Source organism: Homo sapiens, chromosome 5 (assembly GCF_000001405.40).
Source record: "Homo sapiens chromosome 5, GRCh38.p14 Primary Assembly".
NCBI classification, from domain to species: Eukaryota; Metazoa; Chordata; class Mammalia; order Primates; family Hominidae; genus Homo; species Homo sapiens.
The window spans coordinates 2,692,672-2,715,588 of NC_000005.10; the positions used below are offsets into that span (position 1 = coordinate 2,692,672).

At 49.4% G+C, this 22,917-nt stretch overlaps 1 long non-coding RNA gene across 1 annotated transcript, besides 3 other annotated features; it reads left to right on the plus strand.

Annotated features, from left to right (window-relative positions):
* Positions 3,493 to 4,009: an enhancer, noted in NCBI's record as "H3K27ac-H3K4me1 hESC enhancer chr5:2696278-2696794 (GRCh37/hg19 assembly coordinates)". NCBI's record gives its function as "activates a minimal SCP1, AML or CMV promoter by ChIP-STARR-seq in naive H9 embryonic stem cells {active_cell/tissue: H9 hESC(naive)}" and the evidence as "EXISTENCE:reporter gene assay evidence [ECO:0000049][PMID:30033119]".
* Positions 4,284 to 5,483: an enhancer, noted in NCBI's record as "BRD4-independent group 4 enhancer chr5:2697069-2698268 (GRCh37/hg19 assembly coordinates)". NCBI's record gives its function as "activates an origin of replication core promoter dependent on BRD2, P300/CBP, MED14 and CDK7 cofactors, and independent of BRD4, by STARR-seq in HCT116 cells {active_cell/tissue: HCT116}" and the evidence as "EXISTENCE:reporter gene assay evidence [ECO:0000049][PMID:35650434]".
* Positions 17,146 to 17,647: an enhancer, noted in NCBI's record as "H3K4me1 hESC enhancer chr5:2709931-2710432 (GRCh37/hg19 assembly coordinates)". NCBI's record gives its function as "activates a minimal SCP1, AML or CMV promoter by ChIP-STARR-seq in primed H9 embryonic stem cells {active_cell/tissue: H9 hESC(primed)}" and the evidence as "EXISTENCE:reporter gene assay evidence [ECO:0000049][PMID:30033119]".
* On the plus strand, positions 19,920 to 22,566 carry LSINCT5 (long stress-induced non-coding transcript 5). The gene has a single exon (NR_145480.1). It is a non-coding gene; the product is annotated as a long stress-induced non-coding transcript 5 (long non-coding RNA).
* Positions 22,567 to 22,917: the final 351 nt, after the last annotated feature.

A 22,917-nucleotide genomic window follows, 5' to 3' on the forward strand; every position in this document is an offset into this window, starting at 1 on the left:
GTGCCCACCAGGAAATCCCTTGTGAGTCTCAAGATCTTTACTCTACAGCGTTTCTGTTTAGGTGCACCATGGCAATGTAAATTGATAGCTTACTCCACAGGTGCGGGACCAAGGACAGAACTCAAAGTCATCTCTCTGCTCACCTGAAATAAATGCACATCTGACTGTTTCCTCTGCCCGATTGTCTATCTTATCTTATGTAAAAATGCAGATTCACTGAGCCAGACAAAGGCAGGAGTGACTATTCCCCCCAACCCCACATGAAAATTGTGCATTTCTCAGTATCCCATCCTTTCCCTTTTAAATATTGGAGCCTTCAAAATAATCTTCTGAGAAAGGCATAGACCTGTCTCCTGGGCACATGTCCTTAACTTTGACAGATAAACCTCCTAAAATGATTGGAGACTTGCTGAGGTCATTTTCCTTGATTAACAATCTCAAGGATTGGCTTTTGCCATTGTGGGGGCGGGTAAGTCTGAAATCCATAAGACAGTTGAGCAGGCTGGAAACTGTCAGGAAGGAGCTCATACTGAAGCCTTAAGGCAGAATTTCTTCCTCCTCAAGTAATCCTGTTTTGCTTTTACATCCTTTCGACTGATTGGATAAAGCTTACCTCATTATGCAGAATAATTCCTTTACTTAAAGTCAACTGATTTTAGGTGTTAACCACATCTACAAAATATCTAACAGCAACTTCTAGATTAGGGTGCAGTTGAATAGCTGGGTACTGTAGCCCAGTCAAGTTGATATGCAAAATTGACCATCCCACCTAACTTTTGAGTCACCCCAGCCTTCCAGCCTTCACAGCTGAAGTTCCGGACTTTGCGGAGCAGAAACAAGCCCTCCCTACTGTAACCTACCTGAATGCCTTACCCACAAAACCTGTGAGCCCATAAAATGGTTGTTGATACTACCACATTTCAGGGTGTGTTGTTGTGAAACAGTAACTGATACAAGGCATGAAAAGATGGTCCCTTCAACACAGGGGTTGTGCTAAAACAATCCACCCCCAGAAAAGCCACCTCTGGAAAGCTCTCTATAGTGCAAGAGTGTGCCCCAAAAGCTGTGGCATTATCTGGACTGCTTCTACCAGGAAAGCTAATCCCATAGTAGCAGTGATGAACAGATGGTTGTCGTTTTCAGACACCAAAGAATCCTAACGTTCAGATAATGTGTAGAGACAGGCAGGAACCCATAGGCAGGTACAGATGGGAGTTCCTGAAATGGTGACAGTTTCATGAGTTTGAGGCAGTGTTTGAAGAAGAGCATGGGGTCTCAGCTCTCTCTAAACTTTCTCTTGGCCAAAGTGATTGGGCTAAAATGAGAGAGGGGTAGGGGGCTATCTCCTACAGAGCCTCTCTGGGGTGCCGGGCCATGTACCAGACATTTACTACACTAGGACCAGGGATTTCGGTAACAGATCACATGTCAATTGAGTTCATAGTAGAGAAGGTGGGAAAGAGACAGAAAGTAGGGAGGCACGAGAGGGATGGGTGGAGGGAGAAAGGTGAGGAGAGTGGGAAGTAGGGTTATTAGTTAAGGAAGAGTCTCTGGAGAAACTGAGTTTGTTTGGGCAGTTTCAGGATGTAGAGTTCAGGGATGACATTCATAGCCATCTGGAGATGACTTAGGAGGGCTGAGTAATGACACACCCTGCCCCGTCATAAATATATTTACACCCTGATCCTTGGACCTGTGAATGCTACTTTATACAGCAAAAAAAAAAAACAAAACAAAAAACTTGGGGAGAATTTACTGAGGGAAATAAGTTAAGGATGTGGAGATGATGGGGTTTTCCTGGACTACCCTGGTGAGGCTTAAATGCATCATCCTGTCCTTGTGATAGGCAGAGGTTGACTTGACACAGAAGGGGCCACAGGTAGACAGAGGCAGGGGTAGGAGCAAGGTAGCCTCAAGCCAAAGAAAGTCTGAAGCCCCCAGAAGCTGGAAGAGGCAGGAAGGGTCCTCCTTGGAGTCCCTAGAGGGAAGTGAGGATCTGCCCATGCCTTGATTATGAGAGAATGAATTTCCATTGTTTAAGACATAAATTTTTTCATAATTTATTACAACACTCACAAGAAATGAACAAAATGACCCTCCCTCAAAAAACAGTGTGAAGACAAAGTGTCATGAAAGCAGCCCCAGCCTGGTACATGGTGATGTGGTTTGGCTTGTGTCCCCACCCGAATCTCATCTGGAATTGTATTTGGCTCTGTGTCCCCACCCAAATCTAATCTGGAATTGTAATCCTCATGTGTGAGGGGAGGGACCTGGTAGGTGACAGGATCATGGGAACAGTTTCCCCCATGCTGTTCTCCTGATAGTGAGGGAGTTCTCAGGCAACCTGGTTGTTTGATAAATGTCTGGCACTTCCCCCTTCTCTCTCTCTCTCTCTCTCTCTCCTGGCACCATGTAAGATGTGCCTTGCTTCCCCTTCACCTTCTGCCATGATTGTAAGCTTCCTGAGGTCTCTCCAGCCATGTGGAACTGTGAATCAATTAAACCTCTTTTCGTTATAGATTGCCCAGTCTCAGGTAGTTCTTTAGAGTGCAAAAATCCTTAGCTGTGGTGTCCTGGCTGAATTAGTCATCATGGGGGAAAAGAACAAGGAGAGACAACACTAGACAGAGTCTACAGTGTTACCCTGAAACACACGTGACACACAAGTCGGCACCAGATGAATGCACGATGACAGTGACAGAGACGAGAATGCCCAGGGTGAAAGGGAGGGATGCAAGGCAGCACCCCAGGGAGGCAGGGTGCATCTGGGGTTGGAGCTAGATCTCATTCTGTCTTTCCAGATCCTGGCCAGCCTCTGGCAGGACCAAGGCATGGGCCAGGCAGGGCCCACAAAGGCTTGTGTTCACCACCAACTCATTAAGAACCGCAGCACTGGAACAAGAGTGTTAAAGCCTCAGATGCAATTCCATTTGGGAGCGCCTACTGCCCAGGATGACTCACGCTGTATCCTGAAACCAAGGCCCTCCCTCCAGCCTTTCCCCGGTGCTTTAGACAAATATTAGAAATGTGGAGGCCATCACTTCCTGTAAATAGATTTAATCTCTTAGGCTTTCATCATCCAAACAGAAGCTCACTTACTGCTGGTGCTAAATCAATATGAAATAGTAGGGAGTTCTTAAAAGCAAACCACCTAGGCCTCAGATGTAAATAGCTCCCTCTAAGGACATCTCTGGGTGCCTTCTTTTCCTTTGGTTTACTTCCTCCCTCTCCTCTGCCTTTTTTCTTTCCTTCTGTCTTTCTTAAGATCATTTGGAAGCTCTTCAGGCAAACAAAAGGAGATTGAGAAATAAACTCTCCCCTCAATCCAGGGTGGGCAGCTCCCCCCGTTCCTGTCTGGGATTTTGTGTGAACTTCAGAGGTCCCTGGTGTTTTGTTTTGTTCTTTGCTTCATTCCTTCGGTTTTAAGGTAACCTTATGGAGTCCAGAGGCCTGATTTGCATGAACGTGAACAACACCGCTCTCTGTTATCCAAATAATTGGATCTGTCTTTCCTTTACTAAGACTGACTTAGTTGTGCCATTTGAGGACTGAAATATAAAATGGGAGTGCGTGCCATGAAATCCTGTTTGTAGGAAAGCAGTCACCCTAGGGGGAAGAAACCAGTGGGCTGCACGGTGGCTGGAACTGCAGGGAGAGGCTTCATCTCCAGCAAACACACGCGCGGCCAAGCGCCCGGGCCAGCACCCCTGGCTGTTTGCTAGCAGAATCACGAGGAAGAGTAAGTTGAAAAACAAGAAAGAAAATGCTTCTTTGTACCCACAAGATGAAGTGCACGCAAAGTTGGGGAGGGGCACCATCGTTCAAGACTCTGGGCCACTGAGTCCAAACCTTCTCTGGCTGTGGAAAAGCAGCCCAGAGCCACAGGTGACCTTGCAACTCACACCCCTGCTGCCCTGTGGCACCACACGCTTGCCCAGGCCTGAGTCTGCTCACCCTCCCCTGCAGGCCAGAGGGAGCTACATGGCTGCCCTGGCCATGGAGGGTTCGACCTCGGCATCCCCGCACCAGAGTGCCCTGACCTCATCCCCCACAGTCTCCTTAGGCATCCTAGCCAGCTGTCTCCTGGGTGTCCAGGCAAGAGAGAAGTCGCTGATGTCAATCGCAAAAGCCTAAGAGGCCCCTGGCCCAGTGGAGGAGACCCTGCCTGTTGGGATCCAGGGTCGCCAGGCCTGAGAGGAGGACACACAGCCCAGGCCATCACGTGACCTGAATTTCCACGGTTGGGCAGGTGGCTGCGGAGCAGGGTTTGTTTTCACCAGATGATTTTTTTTTTTGCTTTGTTTTTATTTGCTTGCTTGTTTTGTGAGAAGAATTGCTTTTTTCTTACTCTATTTTTTGCATGTTTGCATGAGCTCTGGAAACCAAAAAAAAAAAAAAAACAAATAAACCATTTTGGGTTAACATGTTTCTTTTTATTTAGACGCTTCCTTAAGTTTCGGCAGTTATGTAAACTGCACTCACAGGCCCTCAGGCTCTGGAACCGCCCTTTTACCTTTCTCACCAGCACCCGCGGGGGACAGAACGGTGACTACCACTGCATGGGGGCAGAGAGAAATTGATATATGTGGGCCAAAATCTCAAGGAGGATCAGACAGGCCAGGCAGGGTCCCACAAACAGAGGAGTGAGTGGAGGATGTCCAGGAACCTGGGAGGCAAAGGCTCAGCCGGAGGGTTCAGGCCGCAGCCACGCCTTAACAGGCCTGCTGTTAGAGGGACTCAGCTCTGAAGAGCACCTGGCAGTAAACCACACCTTCTTTCCTCGGGAGCCACACATGGATGATTCCATTGCATTGATGAAGACCGGCCTTAAGAAGAAGAAGGAAAAGTGAAGTCACAAAGAGGCTGCTTGTCACCCCTCTTCCGTGTGTGACTCTTTTCCATGGCCACGCCAGGTGGCGGACATGGGGCGTTCGGGGAAGGCCCAGTGCAGCATGTGCGTGCGGCCAGCAGGTGTGCTGGGGCTTTGATAACCCAAAAACCCCAAAACAGAGCATGGAGGGAAAATGATCTGCAGATGTGTCACCGGGAAGAGTCAACCTCCTGCCAGTAAATTAGTCAAAGTTGCGTTTCCCCAGATCAGCCTTACCTACTGAAGTATAAATTATGGCGCTAGGCACGTCATCCAAATTTTCCAAAGTCTTCAAAGACAAGACACCCAGATTGCGGGATGTTCTTGGCAAAGTTGTGTTCTTCTCGAAAATTACTCACAAGGGAGCTGGAGAGCATTCCAAGGGCTTGTGCTTTCCCAGAGGAGCTGGTTACACAGCAGCTCGAGGGGCCACAGGGCTGCCCTGGGAGCAGATGCCAGTGGTTTGCTGCTGGGCACACCAGGGCCAGAGAAAGCAGCTGTTCCTCCCCTGCCCTGTGAGTCACGTTTCTCACCTGACACTAGAGGTGTCGTGGCCGTGACTAGTCCCCGTCAGCGTGCTTCCTCCTAGGATCTTCGTGCTTGTCTCTTCTTGGGGAAGACTGGACTCTCAGGCACTCGTGGTACATTTGTCCTGACATCACTGTGGCAAAGCAAAAAGATTCTGTTTTCATTAATTCCCACTTTAAATAGGAAGAAACCAAAACACAGAAAAGGCATGGGTCAAACCCTCAGGCCTCCCCAGATAGCTGGAATGAAGCTGTGCAAGTTCTCCTCATGCCAGAAAGCTGTGTTCTGCCAGGGACTAGGATTTTTCAGAGCAGTATCTCTGAATCTAAGATGCTCCCATTCTCTCAAGGGATTCTCAGAAGGTCTCAAATTTCCAACACAAAATGCAACAGGAAGCCCAAAGAAAAATTTAAAGAAAATATACACATAAGTTTTTTTTTGCAATTCCATGGACGCTAGGTTTTCCATAGGTGGACTAAATTTTTGTCCTTACCTTAGAAACTACATTGACTGGTTTATTATAAAATAGTTAACATATTCACAAGATAAAATGCAATAAGTAAAACAAACATGCTTTTCTTCACTTGGCTCTCACTGGGTCTCTTTGGACATGACCTTGTCCATCAGAGGGCAAGACCCAGCCTGAAAGTCTGCCCGAACCTGGAGAGCGATGAGGACACCAGCCACGGAGCCGGAGGCCTGTGCGTCGTCCGAGCACCGCTGACCTTCCTGATATGCGAGTAAGATGCCACTTAGTGACCCTTCCTAGAGTGGGTGGAACAGGGCCTCCCGGAAAGGCATGTCCTGCTGGAAATTCAGTGTGTGACCTTGTTTGAAATCAGAGACTTTGCAAATGTAAATAAATTAAGAACTTCACGAGGAGGCTATTTTGGGTCGGGATGCGTCCTAAGTGTAATGGGAGTGTCCTTGAAAGACTCAGAACAGGAGAAAACATGGAGGCGCACGCCACGTGCTAATGGAGGCAGAGAGAGGGCTGTGTCTGGGTGACTGGCAACACAGAGCAAGGATGGAGCCTCCAGAAGGAACCGATCCTGCTGGAACTTTGATCTTGGACTTCTGGCCCCCAGCATGATGAGACAATAACTTTCTGTTGTTTTAAGCCAGTCCGTGTTAATGTGTACAGCGGCCCCAGGAACACATACATTTACTCATCCAGGAAAAGGGACAAGGTAGTCATGGAAGAAGGAGAAAGAGCATGAAGCCTGCTGCCCACAGGAGGCTGATCTCCTGGTGCAGTGGCCCGGTAGCAGCCTCCATTACCATTGGTGTCCAGCTGCCCTGACGGTGCCGGCCCCCAAGGGCCAGGAGGGGCTGTCAGGACTCATCTCTCCATGTCAGAGGATGCCTGGACACAGAGGATGGACTTGTCTGGGACCCCGAGGGAGCAGGGAAGACCAAGGCAGGGGTGGGGGCGCTGCAGGCCCTCCACACACCGGCCCAGCCCGGCTGAACTGAGCAGCCCTTCCCACCCTCCAGTAGGGAATACTGGAAAATATGGGCAGAAGGAGCTTCTTGAGAAAGGCAGAGCAGAGACGGGGAGGGGGTGCCCAGGGAGTGAGGACTCTGAAGACACTGAGGGCGACTCTGAGAGGAAGAGGCACAGTGCTCACCCTTGAGGAGCTGGATGGCCCGGCTCTCCTTTGGGCTCTGCCTGGAGCCCCCGACCTCAGAGCTCCAGCTGGGGTGAGGAAGGTGGCCTGGGGGCGGGGTGGCACCTGCTTTGGGCTCTGCCTGGAGCCCGGGACCTCAGAACTCCAGCCACGGTGAGGAAGGTGGCCTGGGGGCGGGGCGGCACCTGCTTGCTGAGCCAGCAGCCCACACACTGCAGCGCACCTGCCTTCCTCGAGAAAGCCACGGGACACCTGCTTGAGAGCGTGGGGTCAGACGCTTCTCCTTCACCTGCAACATGGACTCATCATGCGCTCCGTATTGCACGTGGACTTTGGCCGCAGAGAACCCTGTGCTGGCACAGCTAAGGGCTCAGACCCCCGGGGAAGATAGGTCTCTCAGAAGGCACCAGAATGGGAACCAGAGCCAGGTGAGGGGCTTGAGTGGCGAAGGCACCTGTAGAAGCCACCCAGCCCTGGGCCCAGCTACCTCTCTCAGGCTGAGGCCACGCGACAGAGACCCGAACTGTGTATCCAAGAAAAATGAAAACATAAAACCGCATGGACATCCTGCCGCTTGTCAACTTTCCATCCTGAATCAAGAGAACATGCAGCCTCCTTGCAAGAAAACCAATGAGTTCACCTCCAACTAGGACTTCCCACATGAGGACAAGGACAGACCCAATCCTGCCAGTGCCTCTTGCAGGCATCCAGGAGAGCCACCTGTGGCCACCGCCCTTCGGGCTCTCCCCCTGCCCCAGCAATCCTCCCACCAGGTCTGCATTTGAATACTCAGATCAATGGCTTCAGATGGAACCTAGCAAAGACTGATGGAGTCCATCCCATCCCATTTATCTCTCCCAGCCGGCGTTTCCTCTCAATTATACTCGTCTAGGGTACAAAATCAGGATGGGTGGTGGCACCCAACATTGCCACTCCTACATATTAAATGGAATGAAAACCAACTTAAGAATTACTTCAGGTGTCTGGCTCTCCAGGGGCAGAAGCAAATCCAGCAAAAATCCCCAATTCTCTCTTCTCTCTACAGCCAACCACAGCAAACCAGGGAGAGGGAAAGCCCGAGAGAATGAGAATAGACAGGCATTCATTCAGGCCTTAAACTGGCCTTGCTTTTCTGGGATCCTGCATTCGGGGTCCCTTATCTTTCTCTTCCGAGTGCCTTCCCAGCCCTCCACCTCACCCCTGGTCCCCATGCACACTTCACTCCTCTGATTGTTTCTAGATTGGCAGGAGGTCTGGGAACTGTGCCTGCAGCTGAAATGGAGAAAACCCATCCAGCACCTCCCCTTCCATCGGTAATTAAACCTCCAGCCCAGAGCCAGCCCTGCCTAGGATGCCAAGCAGCGCTTCTGCTTGTGAATCCACTTTGATCTCTGCAAGGACAACCTGTCCCCACCCTGCCCTGCTCGCCACTGGAAGGTGCCTGGTGGACACCGTGGTTCGTACCCAAGTTACAACGGATAAACGACCTCTCCCTGCAAGGCCTTTCACAATGTGCATTTGAGGCGAGGAAGGGGGATTCATGGAACACCACTCCATTCTCAAAGGCTGAAAGATCAATTTGCAAAATGGATAAGCTTAAATGCCTTTCGCATTTCACAAAAACCTCTGGGAAAAGTTCTGTACTTCTCTCAGATACAAATAACTGGGACTGTGAGAGATGCCACACTCTTGATGCTGGGTTATCTAAAATATTTATTAAGGTCTGACCTTGCTCTGTCTGCCTTCAGCCTCGCACTCCTCTGCAGAACTGATCTGACTGCTGTCACTACCGCAGACTTCCCAGCCAGATAAATCGTAAGGCCACATCTCCCCATTTCTCTTGTTTGACATCTTGGTGATATTTAGCCCTCTGGAAATTGGCTCCTCCCATGGCCACAGGACACTTCATGCTTCGGCTGCACCTCCTACCCTCTGAGGGCTCCATCTCATTGCTGGGTCCTCTGCCTCTGGTCCCTGGGGGTGTTGGGACTCTTAAAGTTTCTGTCCCCAGCCCTCTAGTTCTGTGGACCGAGGCCTTTCCCACCTGGCAGGACAGCCTGAAGAACACCGGTCGGAGCTTCTTTCTCTCACCGTGTGAGGCAAACTGTCATCATCCACCAGCAGAGGCAGAGGTGAGCAGCCCCACAGCCCACGGCCTCAGGGTGGGCAGCACTGGCCCCTGTGGGGTCATGTACCCATCGAGTGTGCACTCACGCCCTGCAAGATGACACCCTTCTGCACACAAATGCATAACCCGACAAGGCACGTTGCTGAATTCACTCCAGAATCATGTTTAAAAAGCAAAACATGCCCAGCTTCCAAACAGAGTCGAGCACTAACTGCAATCGCAAGAAAACCTGAGTTTCTAAAGTAGCGATCAGAGGGTCTACGGATGGAGCCCAGACAGCCTTCCGGGCAAACTCTTCGCTTCCTCAGCCCCAGTCTCTAATCCCCACAAACCCTCCAGGGACCTCCACTCTTCCAAATACCTGAACCCCCTGTTCCCCTACCCATCTCCTCTTTCGGTCTTTGTAAGGAGCCGTCTGTGTCCAGTGGCACCGCCTGGCAGCTCCACGGGGCCTGGCTTAAGAATGAGCAAAGCCCCGGACCCCCCCGCCGAGCCCCACCAGCCCGTGCATGGGGGCCCCACAGAGGGTTCATGCAGACAAGACATGCTAGAGGCCTGTGGGGACCTCGAGGGCCGTTCTGCCCCATTGCTGCACAGCGAAAAGAAAATAATAATAATTTCTAAGACTTTCAGGTTCAGTCTCCCAAAGTACTTTTCCAGGAACATACTTTGAAAGAACACCATAGAAAATACGATCCCAGTGACATGAAGCTTCAGACATCCTCGTGATTTAGGGGGCGAGACGGCGAAGGGATCTCGGGAAGAATTTGTTTTTGTTTCTGAAATGTCAGAAGAAAACACACCTTTGAGATGAGCCTGTACTGTTAGCGTTCAAACTCCCCCTTGTGCTTTGCTTGGGTCCCGCGTGTGCTGAGCAGGAGAGAAAGGCGTGCAGAGAGGTCTGCTCCTGGGCCTCCCTTCGTAAGGGCAGTCGGTTCCAAAGGCCACGTGTAAAGCACAAAGTCTCGAACACTTTCTTTTCTTCTCTTTTTTATTATACTTTAAGTTTTAGGGTACATGTGCACAACGTGCAGGTTTGTTACATATGTATACATGTGCCATGTTGGTGTGCTGCACCCATTAACTCGTCATTCAACATTAGGTATATTAAAGCACAGATGATATTCAAGAGCAACTCATTGGAAGAGTTGCCAAAGCGTGTCTTCAGGGTATACAAAGGTTGTTCCGGAAGGAGCGTGAAGGCTCCAGGTGCCGATGTGGATCATGGATTCAGCCAAGCAGGCGAATGTGCACTGAGCCTGCACTGACTGCCTACTGTATGCCTGGTACATGCAGAGATAGAGGAAAGGGCAGAGGCTCTGTCCTCAAACCTCGCACACGCTCAGCAGGAGGTGCACACACGTCAGCTGTGAGCACCGTGTACCCTGCAGGGACGGAGACACAGCCTCCCTACAACTCACCCAGCCCCAGAGGCACGTGCATGCACTCACACGTGCACGGCGAGGGGACCTCATGTTTGACACGCTCTGGACTTCACAAGCTCATCTCCTGGAATTCCACTGTGTCGGGATGAGTTTTGTGTTACTGAGAGAGGAACTAAAGCTGTCTTTTTCTCTTACTAAGCAGAATGCCCAATTCTCCTCCAGAAATGGACCACAAAACTGCAAAATGCAAGAGAAGGCACTAAAATCTCAGCATCCTCTGAACACAGAAACACTTTAGCAAATTCATGACTGGAAAAAAAGTTCCAGTAAGCTGGCGAGGTTTCAGAGAGCGGCTGCTCTGAGCTCGCCTTTTTATTCTGAAATTCTTATCAGCAAAATGCTAAAGTGGATTGATGCCATTAACATCTCCTCTCTGCTTTCCTTGGGAACTCAACATTCATTATTATCGAAAATATAATATTTATGTATTTCAAGAAAATAGAGAAAATAAACACACAGTCGTCACACCGCTCGAGAGTTACTGGAATTCTCCTGTGTCCGAAGGAGCGAGTTAGAACCTGGGACCTGGCGGCAAAGCTGGGTGTTTTCAAGGACGTGGGTCCAGCCTCTTCCTCCCCCACATCTGGGCCTGCTGAAGAGTATCTGGCCCAACGGTAATGGTCAGCCGCCAAGTTTCTGAGAAGGCTGCTCGGAGTACGTTGATATTTCATTGAAGACCTGCCACAACCTTATGACAGTTGTACTATCCTTTACAGGTAAGGAGACAGGATGCAGTGCTAGCCTAATACTTTACCTTTTTAATCTATTAATCTACCACCTTAGGGACATGATTTTAAATCCACTCCAGAGCAAAGTGACTGAAAATCATTCTGGTCTGACAGCTTTAAAAGATCAGAAGTGAAACGTGTTAGGAAGGTCTCAGCCTGTTGATACCGCACGAGTTCAGCTGTTTGGGATTCCCCCGCCCTGGTGAGGGTGTACCCTTCCTGTTCAGAGGGTCCGGATCGGGCCTCACGTACCAGCAGGAAAGTGTTCGTATTAGACGGGCGAAAGTGATCCAGGAGCATGGACATCGGTCTGGGCTGAGGATGGGGAGCGCTGATGGAGTTGGAAAATCCTCAGAGTTTGGGGGAAGGTTTGCTTACTGCGTATTGGGATGAGTGGCTGGCGTCACGAGAGCCAGTTAAAAGCGAGGGAATGAAAGCCAAGTGCTTGCTCCACGGAGCCACATGGCAGGACAAAACGGGACAAAACAGAATTATATGTGTGTGTATATATATATACACACACATATAATTTAAAGATCAAAAACTAAAATCATAATAATAGTAATAAAAGACTCACTTCTCACAGTGGTCATAGGTCCAACATGCACGTGTGGCCGTTTGCAGGCCAACCTTCCAACTATGTGAAGCGGCAACTACAGAAAAGTTTGCATTCTTGCCGAAAGAGACCTTTTCTTTTGTACTTTGGAAACCAGGAATTATGCTAAGATGTTTACTTCTTGTTGCAAAGCAGCCACCTCCTTTTCTCATATAGAGCTACTAAGCACCCATGCATACACGGACACCCGAGGTAAGAGGAAGGGGCCTTGGGGGGTGCTGCTGGCATCAGACAGTGCATTGAGAGCACCCCATGCAGGGTAGACAGTGCTGCTGAGAGAGAGGTTGCTGAGTGAGGAACAGGGTGACTTCTGCCTCCCTGTGCCACCCAGGGCCACATCCTCTGCCTGCTCAGACAGGCTGATATACATGGGGACCGCTGGTTCTGGGGTAGCAGCATGGTCAGTTTGAAAATGCCTAAGCAGCAAACCTCAGATGTTTATGCACCAGCAGGGGCGACGGATGCCAAGGTGGCTCCTCCTGGACATACAGGGTTCTCCCGAGTGAGGCTCCTGCGCAGAGGCCTCAAAGCCCAACTACCTCTTTAGAACAGGCATTGGGCAACTCCATTCCAAAATCAAGGCCTGGGCTCCCCTGGGCTCTGCAGGGCTCCCCTGGGCCAGGCTGGGGAGAGGCAAGCAGAGGGAGAGTGTGGTCTGCAGGGTCTGCGGCCTTCACTTCCAGGAGAGAGGGGCAGGGCTCAGAGGCCCTGTCTGCTGTGGAGCTGCTCCCCTCCTAGCGTGGGGAGTTGCACATGCGGAGGAGCATCCCCTCGGCAGGTGGATGTGGAATTAGCACCCAAGGCCTGCAGCTAACATGCAGTGGGCAGCCCTGCAGCCGGAAAGCTGGCCCAGCACAGCACGCTTCTGTGCAGGGATCTGAGACGTCCTGGGAAGGGGTGAGCAGGGGATGCTGGAACAGCCAAACCAGGCGCTCCTGGAACATCTCGGGCAAGAGTGCAACAATAGGAATGTGACCCAGAGATGAGGATGCGGCTCATTATGGGTTTCTGGGGAGGTGGGAGCTCTGACGGGTGTGAGGGAATGGGATGCAGGGTTACTGTTGGTGTCTGGTGAGGTGTGAGCTGTGCTGGGAGTGAGGGGAGGGTGGTGCAGGGTCATTGTGGGTATCTGGGGAGGTGTGAGTTGTTGGGTCTTAGGGGAAGGTGGTACAGGCTCAGTGTGTGTGTCTAGAGAGGTGTAAGCTGGGATAAGAGTGAGGGGATGGTGGTGCAGGTTCACTGTGTGTCTAAAGAGGTGTGAGCTGGAATGAGAGTGAGGGGATATGGTGGTGCAGGCTCACTGTGGGTGTCTAGAGAAGTGTGAGCTGTGACGGGAGGGAGGGGATGGTGGTGCAGGCTCACTGTGGGTGCCTGGGGAGGTGTGAGCTTGGAATGGGAACGTGGAAACCAGGAGCAAGGAAGAGTGGCTGGGAATCCCATGAGTTCAGAGCCGGCAGCTGCAGCTCAGGTGCCCCAGCCCACAGAGGGAGTCCGTCGGGCTGGCACTGGGAACTCAGAGCCGGCAGCTGCAGCTCAGGTGCCCCGGCCCACAGAGGGAGCCCATCGGGCTGGCACCAGGAACTCGGGTGTACAAGTGCACAGGTTTGTCTTGCTCCTGGCGGCATCCTGGGAGCAGCAAGCACAGGGATGATGGTGACAGCCTGGGGACTGTAAGGGGGACACTTTCTTTTTCCTGCACACTTTTCTCTCCAACTCTTGCCCCTTCCTGGCCTCTAGGATTGCCTCCCAAATAAACTCCTGTCCCCAAATTCTTTACTTAGAAACTGCTTTGGGGCAGTCCAAGTTAAGAGGTTTTAAGGCATGAATGAGGGATTTGGGAGGAAGTGTTATCAAAATACACCTTGGAAATATCATAAAAGAATGGCCAGTGCTGACCATGTGGACAAAGAAGGGAGGGGAAGACAGGAACACAGGGGTCTTGCCTGCAGGAGGGCAAGGCGTCCCAGAGGGGTGTGGAGACAGGGGAGTTCCGAGCATGAGTTGGGAGTCATCTGAGAAAATGCTCCCTCTTTGCCATTAAAAGAAATAATAATGATGATGAAAAAGAAAACATTATGAGAAAATGCTATTGCAGTAGTCAAGGTTACTAAAACATGACCTCGTTATTCATTTAAAAATGTTTGGATTAGACTACATTCAGGAAACACAGCGTTTTTATCTAACTCTGTACTGTAATTAGTGAGTTCATTTTGATGTACCCAGGTGAGTAATGCATCCCCTTTCTTCCATCAAATTGCCCTACCCATTAAGAAAAAACAGTCTCTGTTTTTTTATCTCTCACCCTGGACATATTCCTAATTAGTTTGCTTTTTTTAATTAGAAGAGAATTGCTCAGCCTTCGAATTGTCCCCCACTTAATGAGCTTCTCCAGATGTTGAATTAGAAACCAAAAAACTACAGAAAAAACAGCTGGACATTAAATAAAACAGGAATTACCAACAGGTCACCTGGGAAACAATTCTATATCCTCACATTAACGCTAAGTAACCCCTGGCGTGGCGTTTTTCCTGTAGAAATGATCAGGCCCTCAGCAGGAGATCCACACAGTCCACTCATCACTCCCAGAGGCTGCCTCCTTCTTCCCACCCGCTACCTCTCAGCCCGAACACCGTCCTGCAGCTGCCCCTGGCATTTATGACACCTGACTTGCAGTTTCTGGCTCTCCTGATGACATCTTAGGGCGGCTGGGTAAGACCCTTCTCATACGAATTTCTCACCTCCATCTCCCTGACAGTGACCTCCTCAGAGTGATCTGGCTCTGTTTTCCTTAGCAGCTAGCTCTCTCGGTGACTTAGGGTTTAATATACACCATGGAATACTGTGCAGCCATAAAAAATGATGAGCTCATGTCCTTTGTAGGGACATGGATGAAACTGGAAACCATCATTCTCAGCAAACTATCGCAAGGACAAAAAAACAAACACCGCATGTTCTCACTCTTAGGTGGGAATTGAACAATGAGAACACATGGACACAGGAAGGGGAACATCACACACCGGGGACTGTTGTGGGGTGGGGGGAGGGGGGAGGAATAGCATTAGGAGATATACCTAATGCTAAATGATGAGTTAATGGGTGCAGCAAACCAACATGGCACATGTATACGTATGTAACAAACCTACACGTTGTGCACATGTACCCTAAAACTTAAAGTATAATAATAATAAAATTAAAAAAATAAATAAAAGAAACTCAGGAGAGGCTCTAGGAATAAACGTATATGGACAGAAAATGCCCAAGCCTGACTATTTATAATGCCCAGCATTATAAATAAGGAATCACTACAATTAGAACTATTTAGATATTTAATGTCAGATACAGAAGAGTCAGAGAACATCTAATATATACAGAGGTGTTCAGTAAATGTTAGTTGACAGGGTAAATGAGTTTAAGCATTCCAGAACCATAGTTCAAATGTCACATGTACCCTAAAAATATGTACAACTATGTATCAATAAAAAACTAACAAACAAAAACTGAAAAAATAAATAAATAAATAAAATAAAGAGGAGTCTCACTTTGAGACAGGAGTCTGTGGCCTGCCAGGGCTACTGCGAAGGTGAGGGTGAGAAAGCCTTGCAGGGCAGGGCACCCCCACCCTGTCCCCAGCATTCACACCGCAGCCTCAGCCGTCTCAGGACGAGCCGTCTGAGTGCACCATGAGCAGCTTGCACCACGGCGATCTCTACACACTTGCAATGCCAGGTTGTCCTTCCCGGATACAGGACAGCTGCCATCCGGGGCAGTGTACCCACAGGTGTTTCCCGTAGAGACACCGGCCCCTCCCCAGGGCTTCATCCTCTCCACCTTATCCCCGGGTCTCAGGACTCGAGCATTGACACACCTTAACTCCTCGTCAAAAAGCGGAGTGGCTTTAACAGATGTTTGCATCCATAAACAGGCTTGCTTCAGGTGCTTCCCTTCACGAGAAATGAAATCTGTGTTCTCCCCCAAAGACCAGCCTCCGGTGGTAGCGACAGGATTGTCCCAGAGCCAAGGCCCCCAAGAGCCAGCTTCCTGGGAACGTGAATCCTCTCACTTAGGGTTGGGGACGGATGGCCTGAACCCTGTGCTCCTTCTGGAACTCCATGTTCTTCAGGACAGCCGCATCCAGGCCATTGGCCAATGTCCTCGTTCGGAAATGCCAGAATGTTCCCACCTTCCTATCCTGCGCTCTCCTCACCACTCTTTGCTTCCAGGGCACGGCTCTGGTCCATCGGGTCTCCACTCCTTGCTGCCACACCCTTGGAGACAGCGAGTGTCTCAGCAGGATCACTGCCATCCTTGACATCGGCCCTGCCCATCCCTCCCAGCAGCAGAGGTGGTCTCCGGTCCTGCGTCCCTCCAACCTGCTTCAAGCCCCACTCCCAGAGGCCTTCTCCAGGCCACATGGAACTTTCTCTGCCAGGGACTCACTCTTCCAAGAAGACGTGGAGGGCAGTGATTCTCCTCAATGCAGCAGGTGCTTGTTGGGCCCTGCAGGGTGGGGCAGGAGGTTGAGATGGTGGCAAGACAACGCTCTGCAGCATCTCACACCACTGCCCAGGGACACCAGCCCACCAGCCTAGGGCACCGGCACTGGGAAATTCCGTCAATCGTGAAATTATTAATGCAAAATGCATGACAAAAATAAAACCCCAAAGATCTGCCTATCGTTTTCATAACTGCACATTCGTATTTCAGATTTAGTTAAGTGCACGGTAAGTTTCTGGTTATAAATGCACTCGTGAACTATTAATAAAAATTTAAAGAATACAATGAATCACCTGTGTGATCTGACTAGCCCATCATTTTAATATGCAGAATTTCATTTTAGTCTTTATTCTGTGCACCTGCATTTCTAATGCAGTCAGGATTCTGGCGTCGATGATTTTGTGTCCTATTTCTTTTAATAAAAATGATCTGCTTGGCCTTCTGTCACTTATTTTTGCCTTTGAGAAAATGCCTTTGATGTTTTCTGTCTTTGCTACCTGAACTATATTTAGTTTACTTTATTTCTTCTAGGAAGAAATAAAGTGTATATTCATTCTGCCTTCAATTATTTGCATGATTACTTTACATTTAGAAATATTAATTCATATTTTTATTATTAAAAGCAAATATAAGATCACTTTCATTTCCTAACACAAGATGCAATTGTAGTGTATTTTTACCATCTTCCAACACCCTTGGTTTCCTGATAGATCTGAGGTTGGAGCCACAGCTCACCTTCCTCTCAATACTCAGACCCTCCATCACCTCCTCTCCAGCCTCTTTTGGGATTCCGTCCATGTTTCCTTCTAAGGCCCCAGGCCGTTCTCAGCCTCTCTGCCCCATGTGTGTTCGCTTCAACTCCCAGGCTTCTTTTGCATCTGAAGTTGTAGGTTTTATCTTTTAAAAAAGGTCCCTAAGCGTCCTGCTGGCTGAGGCTGTTTATCAGGGTGACATGTCTACATTGCCGGGAAGCTTTCAGCTGCAGCGACACAAGTGCTGCTGCAACAGGCCAGAACAAGGCGCCTGGACTTGCCTAGGGCAGAGGCGAGGGAGGCTGCGCAGGTGGCGGGTGGAGAAGTTAAAAGGCAGCATCAATGCTGCAGGCGTGTTCTGCCCCTGGCTCTGTGACATGGAGCAGTCATTTCATCCCAGGCCTGGAAGCCCTCATGGTCACAGCAGGGCTGCCAGCGCCCCTCCAGGCCACACACTTTCTCCCTCAGTCATGCCTCCTGGGTGAACATGGCTCTGTGTCACAATCAGATGGTTCTCCCAGCAGCCTCCACACATCTCTCTTTAGGTCTCCTTATCTGAATTGGGTCTATTCTCATTTCTGACCCAGTTGCAGGCAGAGTCTGGGATTAGTCTGGTCATGTCAGGCCTGTGGTGGACGGGGCGAGCGGCCGGCTTCCTCTGAGTCTCCTGGCCACCTGGGGAAGACATGGGAAGCCACCAGAAAGCAATCTCGAAAGAGGGAACGGTGAACACATGTGCTCTACAGGACACTAGCTTTCATTGCCTTCCTGCCTAAACAACCAGTCACCTGGGTGTAAAACGCTGAAATAAAAGTATAATTTCCTAAATCTTTATAGAGTTGGTCTTGCCAAGAAGTTGGGGTAAACCTCACTTTTGCTCCCCTTACAGAGCAATACCTTTTTACATCTCTGTGATTAAAAAATAATACATTTGCAAGCACTATTTTTCCTGGAATATGCTGAGCATTGAAAATTTTCTTTTTTAAGACAGGAAAATTTCCTTCCACGTTTTTTCTGATAGGCTTGTCTTTTAGGTGCCTTAGCTTGTTCTATAAGAACATATACAACTTAGTTGAGATTCTATTCTCTGCCGTCTGTACCAACTGATACCATCATTTTCAAAAAACAAAACAAAACAATTAGCTGCATTTTTTTCCTGATCACTAAAAAAGTATGTTCCTTGTTGAAATCACACAATACCAAAAGCTACACAGATGAGCACGAACATCATATATAAGTCCACCACCAGGGGGAAAGGCAGTATTCATTCACATTTTACCACGTATATTTCTGATCTTTTTTTTCCATGTGACATACTTCAATTCATGTGTTTAATATCCCTCAAATATTTCTCAGCAGCCTATTATGCTGTCCTTTGAATAGATCCCACTAACAGCACACAGAGTACAGGGCTTCAACATGTCAGTTGGTTATTTTTTCTCCTATACTTTTATCAGTTCGATATGGATTTGTTCCTGTTTGTGCTCAGTTTTAGGGTTGCCTTTTAACTTAAAAAAATTAATAATTGTATTTTTGACCACGTAAGAGGTTTTCATGTTGCAAAAATCAGCACTTCCACTCCCTCCTCAGCCTCTCCAGGAACTGTTTTCCTCGCCTGCTCTAGGCTGTCCTTTCTGGGTTTTCTTTTCCCTGAGTAAGGAAGGATGTCTGTTTGTGCTTCACCTTCTCTCCGACACGAGCCATCCCTGAGTGCACCCGCAGCAAACACGCCCTGCTAAACTTGCCTCCACGCCCGCCCCCTCCGCCTCCGTGTCCTGTGACCACGCAGCTCTGTGAGGGGCTGTCCCTGTCACCATCAACATCTCTATGACACAGTTCACTGTAGGAACGTCTTGGGGTGCCACGACAAAGGGGGCGGCCTAAAACAACAGAAGTTTAATCCCTCACAGTTCTGGAAGCCAGAAGTTTGACATGCAGGTGACACAGGGCCACGCTACCTTCAAGGCTGAAGAGAAGGAGCCTTCCTGCCTCTTCCGGGGTCTGTTGCCCCCACTTGTTCCTTGACTGGTGGCTGCATGGCCCCAGTCTCTGCCTCTGCCTCCTGGTGCCCTCCTCCCCGGGCCTGTGTCTGAGCTCCCTGTGCCTCACAGTCACAAAGACGCTTGCCATTCATTGGGTTTAGGGCCCACCCAGGTAATCCTAGATAAGCTCCTTTTCTCACATCCTCAACTAAAGTACTTCTGCAAAGACCTTTTTTCCAAATAAAGTCCCATTTACAGGTGCTGGGGGTTGGACGTGGATACCTTTTGGGGGCTACTGTTCAACCCACTCCAGGCAGGGATTGTCAATGTCCTGCCCCCATCTGTGTGATGCCCTCTGTGCGTGTCTGCCGTGTGTATGTGGCGAATCGTTGGCCCAATACCAAGAAGTAGGGCTCAGGGTCGAAGGCTCACTGCCTGGGCAGATTTGCTAGAAACTACCTGATTCCAAGCAACAGGGCTGTGGCTCTCTCAATACCAGCGACACTGAACATCTGTGCATGTGTTTAAAGGGAATCTTTATGTGTTTTTCAGTGAAATGTCTTATTTTTATTGTTTACCAATTTTCTACAAAGTGTTTTTGTCATTTTTCCCCCGATGGTTTGAAATATTCTTATGAATTAGCATTTTTAGTCCTTAGGGTAAGAGTTGGAAACATTTTTCCCAGCGGCCATTGCTTTTGATTACGACGGGTTCCCCCCCACCCCCAGTGGCAGGAGGCAGATGCAAACTTTTATACGTTGTTGGATTTTTATTTTTTTCCTGTATTTTATTTGTTATTTGAGCCATAACAAAGAATTTCACCACTCAAGTCAAAAACACATTTTTTTCTAGTAATTTGTGTTCTAGTACAAATGTAGTCTCATTCTATTTATCATGCAGGTTGCTGATGTCCTTGGGGTTTGTTCTGTTGTTTGGAGTGGGATGTGACTTCAATTGTATGTTATTGTTGCTTTTCCAAGTGGATACTCGGTTCCGTTGAGGGCGTTTACCTTTGTTCTGGTCATATATGATCACCTTTATTATCTACTGAAGTCTGATGTTCTCTGGGTCTATTTCTGTCCTTTCTGGTTTATTCCACTGGCCCATTTGTCAAACCCTGCACCAGAACTACAGCACTTTAGTGGCAGAGATTTTACAGCTGTTTTTTTTATGCCTGGTGTCCTGGTGCTTCTCCTTCCTCTTTGCTCATCTTTTTAAGGGATTTCCTAGCTATTGTTGCATGACTGTTTTTCCATGTAAACTTTATTACCAATGTATAGCTATAAAAAATGCTTGCTGGGCCAGGCGCGATGGCTCACACCTATAATCCCAGCACTTTGGGAGGCCGAGGCAGGTGGATCACGAGGTCAGGAGATGGAGACCATCCTGGCTAACACGGTGGAACCCCGTCTCTACTAAAAAAAATACAAAAAATTAGCCGGGCGTGGTGGCGGGCGCCTGTAGTCCCAGCTACTCGGGAGGCTGAGGCAGGAGAATGGTGTGAACCCAGGAGGCGGAGCTTGCAGTGAGCTGAGATTGCACCACTGCCCTCCAGCCTGGGCTACAGAGCAAGGAAAAAAAAATTCTTGCTGGCCTTAGAACTGGATTAGTGTTAAATTTGTCTGTTAGCTCTGCTAGAATTTGACAACTTTATGATAGCATGCTTCCTGCCGAAGATCAAGAACTGCTTTTCAGCTGGTCAAGTCCACCTGGGAGCCTTTGGAAAGCATTTGGAAGCTTTTCCCCTTAGGTTTTCCATCGTTTATCAAGATCATTCCTAAGAACTTTGTGGTTTTCACTGCTATTTTAAACCGAGATGTTTCTCTCTCCTTATGTCTTCTAAGAGGTAATGTGGATAGGTAAAAAGGTGACTGATTGTTGTGTGTTAGTTTTATATTCTCCTAAATGTTTCTAAAGGCAATTTTTCATGATTTAGACAACTTACTTAACCTCATGATCACGTTGATCAATACAGTCAGCACTGAATCTTCTCCTCCCCTCCAAACACATGGATAAGGTGGATAAGGAATATTTAATTTTTTTTTTAAAAGCACAGCCGCCCATGAAAGCAAGGAAGGAGAATCTCTGTGGTACAGAAATGGGGTTGGAGTCCCTGGGGTGATCAGTGCTGTGGCCACAGGACCACTGTGGACCCAGAAGACCAGCAGCAGGGCCAACACCTGTCCAGGGTGGGAAACCCTACCTCATCATGGGGTGACAGCCTCAGGGGCTCCGGGGTGACTGGACTCTGACTGTGAACTGAGAAGGGGTTGAAACTGCTTTCCCTTCTCCCACACAGGCAGGGCTTCTGCTGAAATGAGCTTCTGCCAGAAATACCCCAGACACATTCAATACTGAAATATGGACCTGCAAAGTACCCATAGGCAGGACCCCACCCTGGGCTATTGCGGACTGGAGCCCCGAGCAGGAGAGCCCACCCAGGCTTGGCTTTGGAGCTGGAGGAGACAGCGGTGAATGGAACTTCCGCTCAGGATGGGGTCTGGAACACTGGGTTTGGGAACAACTAAGAGTCTCATAAAGGGAAGACATAGCAAGGCAGGTACAGAAATAGCAAGGCGATTGTTCAGGGGCATTGAGCTAAGTAAGTATATATTACATTCTTAAGTAAATACATAAAAATCAAATGTGTAAAAAAAACAGATGAAAGAGAAATAGGCATTTTTTAAAATAGAAATGTTGGAAATGATTAATATTAGTGATGAAATGAATTCAAGCTCTTTCCCCCACGTAGCAGGCTGTGAGTTGGGTGATCAGGCAGGGGTGGGAGACCCATGGGGGAAGGGGCGGAAACAGAGCCAGTGGGGCTGGGCATGGAGCTGAGTCCAATAGCATCATAGGTCTGCTGTGGTACCCAACCGATGCTCTGTCACCGGCAAGGGGTGTCTGGTCTTGAGGCTCTTGCCTGCTGAGTGGAAAGATCTACGTCTTTCGGGAGACCTTGATGGGACCTTGGCTTCAGAAATGTCTCCCCCGCTCTCGGGGGAGCTGCTGCCCCAGCTGGGTCTTTGGTCTGACTGGGCTTTGAACACTCTCTCTGCCTGCTGCTCCTCTCTCTGCTCAGCCCTGCCTGGCGCAGAGAGCTGGGCACCTTCCACCCACCCCTGCTGGGATGCATCAAGCTGTCTCTCAGGAGGGCCCGGGCTCCTGGCTGCAGCTCTACCTGCCCAAGTCCCAAAAGTTCTCACACTGCAGGTGCTGCCTCAACCTCCACCCACTCAGCCTGCCAGCTACAAACCTCTGAACTGCAGGGTAGAAAAGGAGCTTGCCGAAGGTCCCTGCCTGCCTTGCCCCACAATGTAGCCTCTCCCGGAAAGGCAAGCTCAGCCTCCACTGGAACCCACATCTGACATCTGTGTCCTATAGTTGGCACCACTGCCTATGCACAGGCTGGTGTGTTCTGGCTCCCCCTCCCGCCAAGGATGGCGCACTCCTACCACTAGACCAGATCCCAGGAAAGGGTTTCCAGAGCCTCCTTCTCCACTGCCGCCCATCCTGGCCCCCTGAGCCTGCACCTCCCCAAGAGAAGGAACGGGAACTTCATGTCCACCCACACCCCAGACACTGACTGTGGTCCAGGCGTGGGCCCCAGCCTCCGAGAGCTCCCTTCCATGGTGTCTTTTGGAGAAAAATTAGACTCATCAAAAGGCATAAGGCATCTTATGTGTGATGCCTGCCACATGTAAGAATGGGTATTTGCGGCCGGGTATGGTGGCTCACGCCTG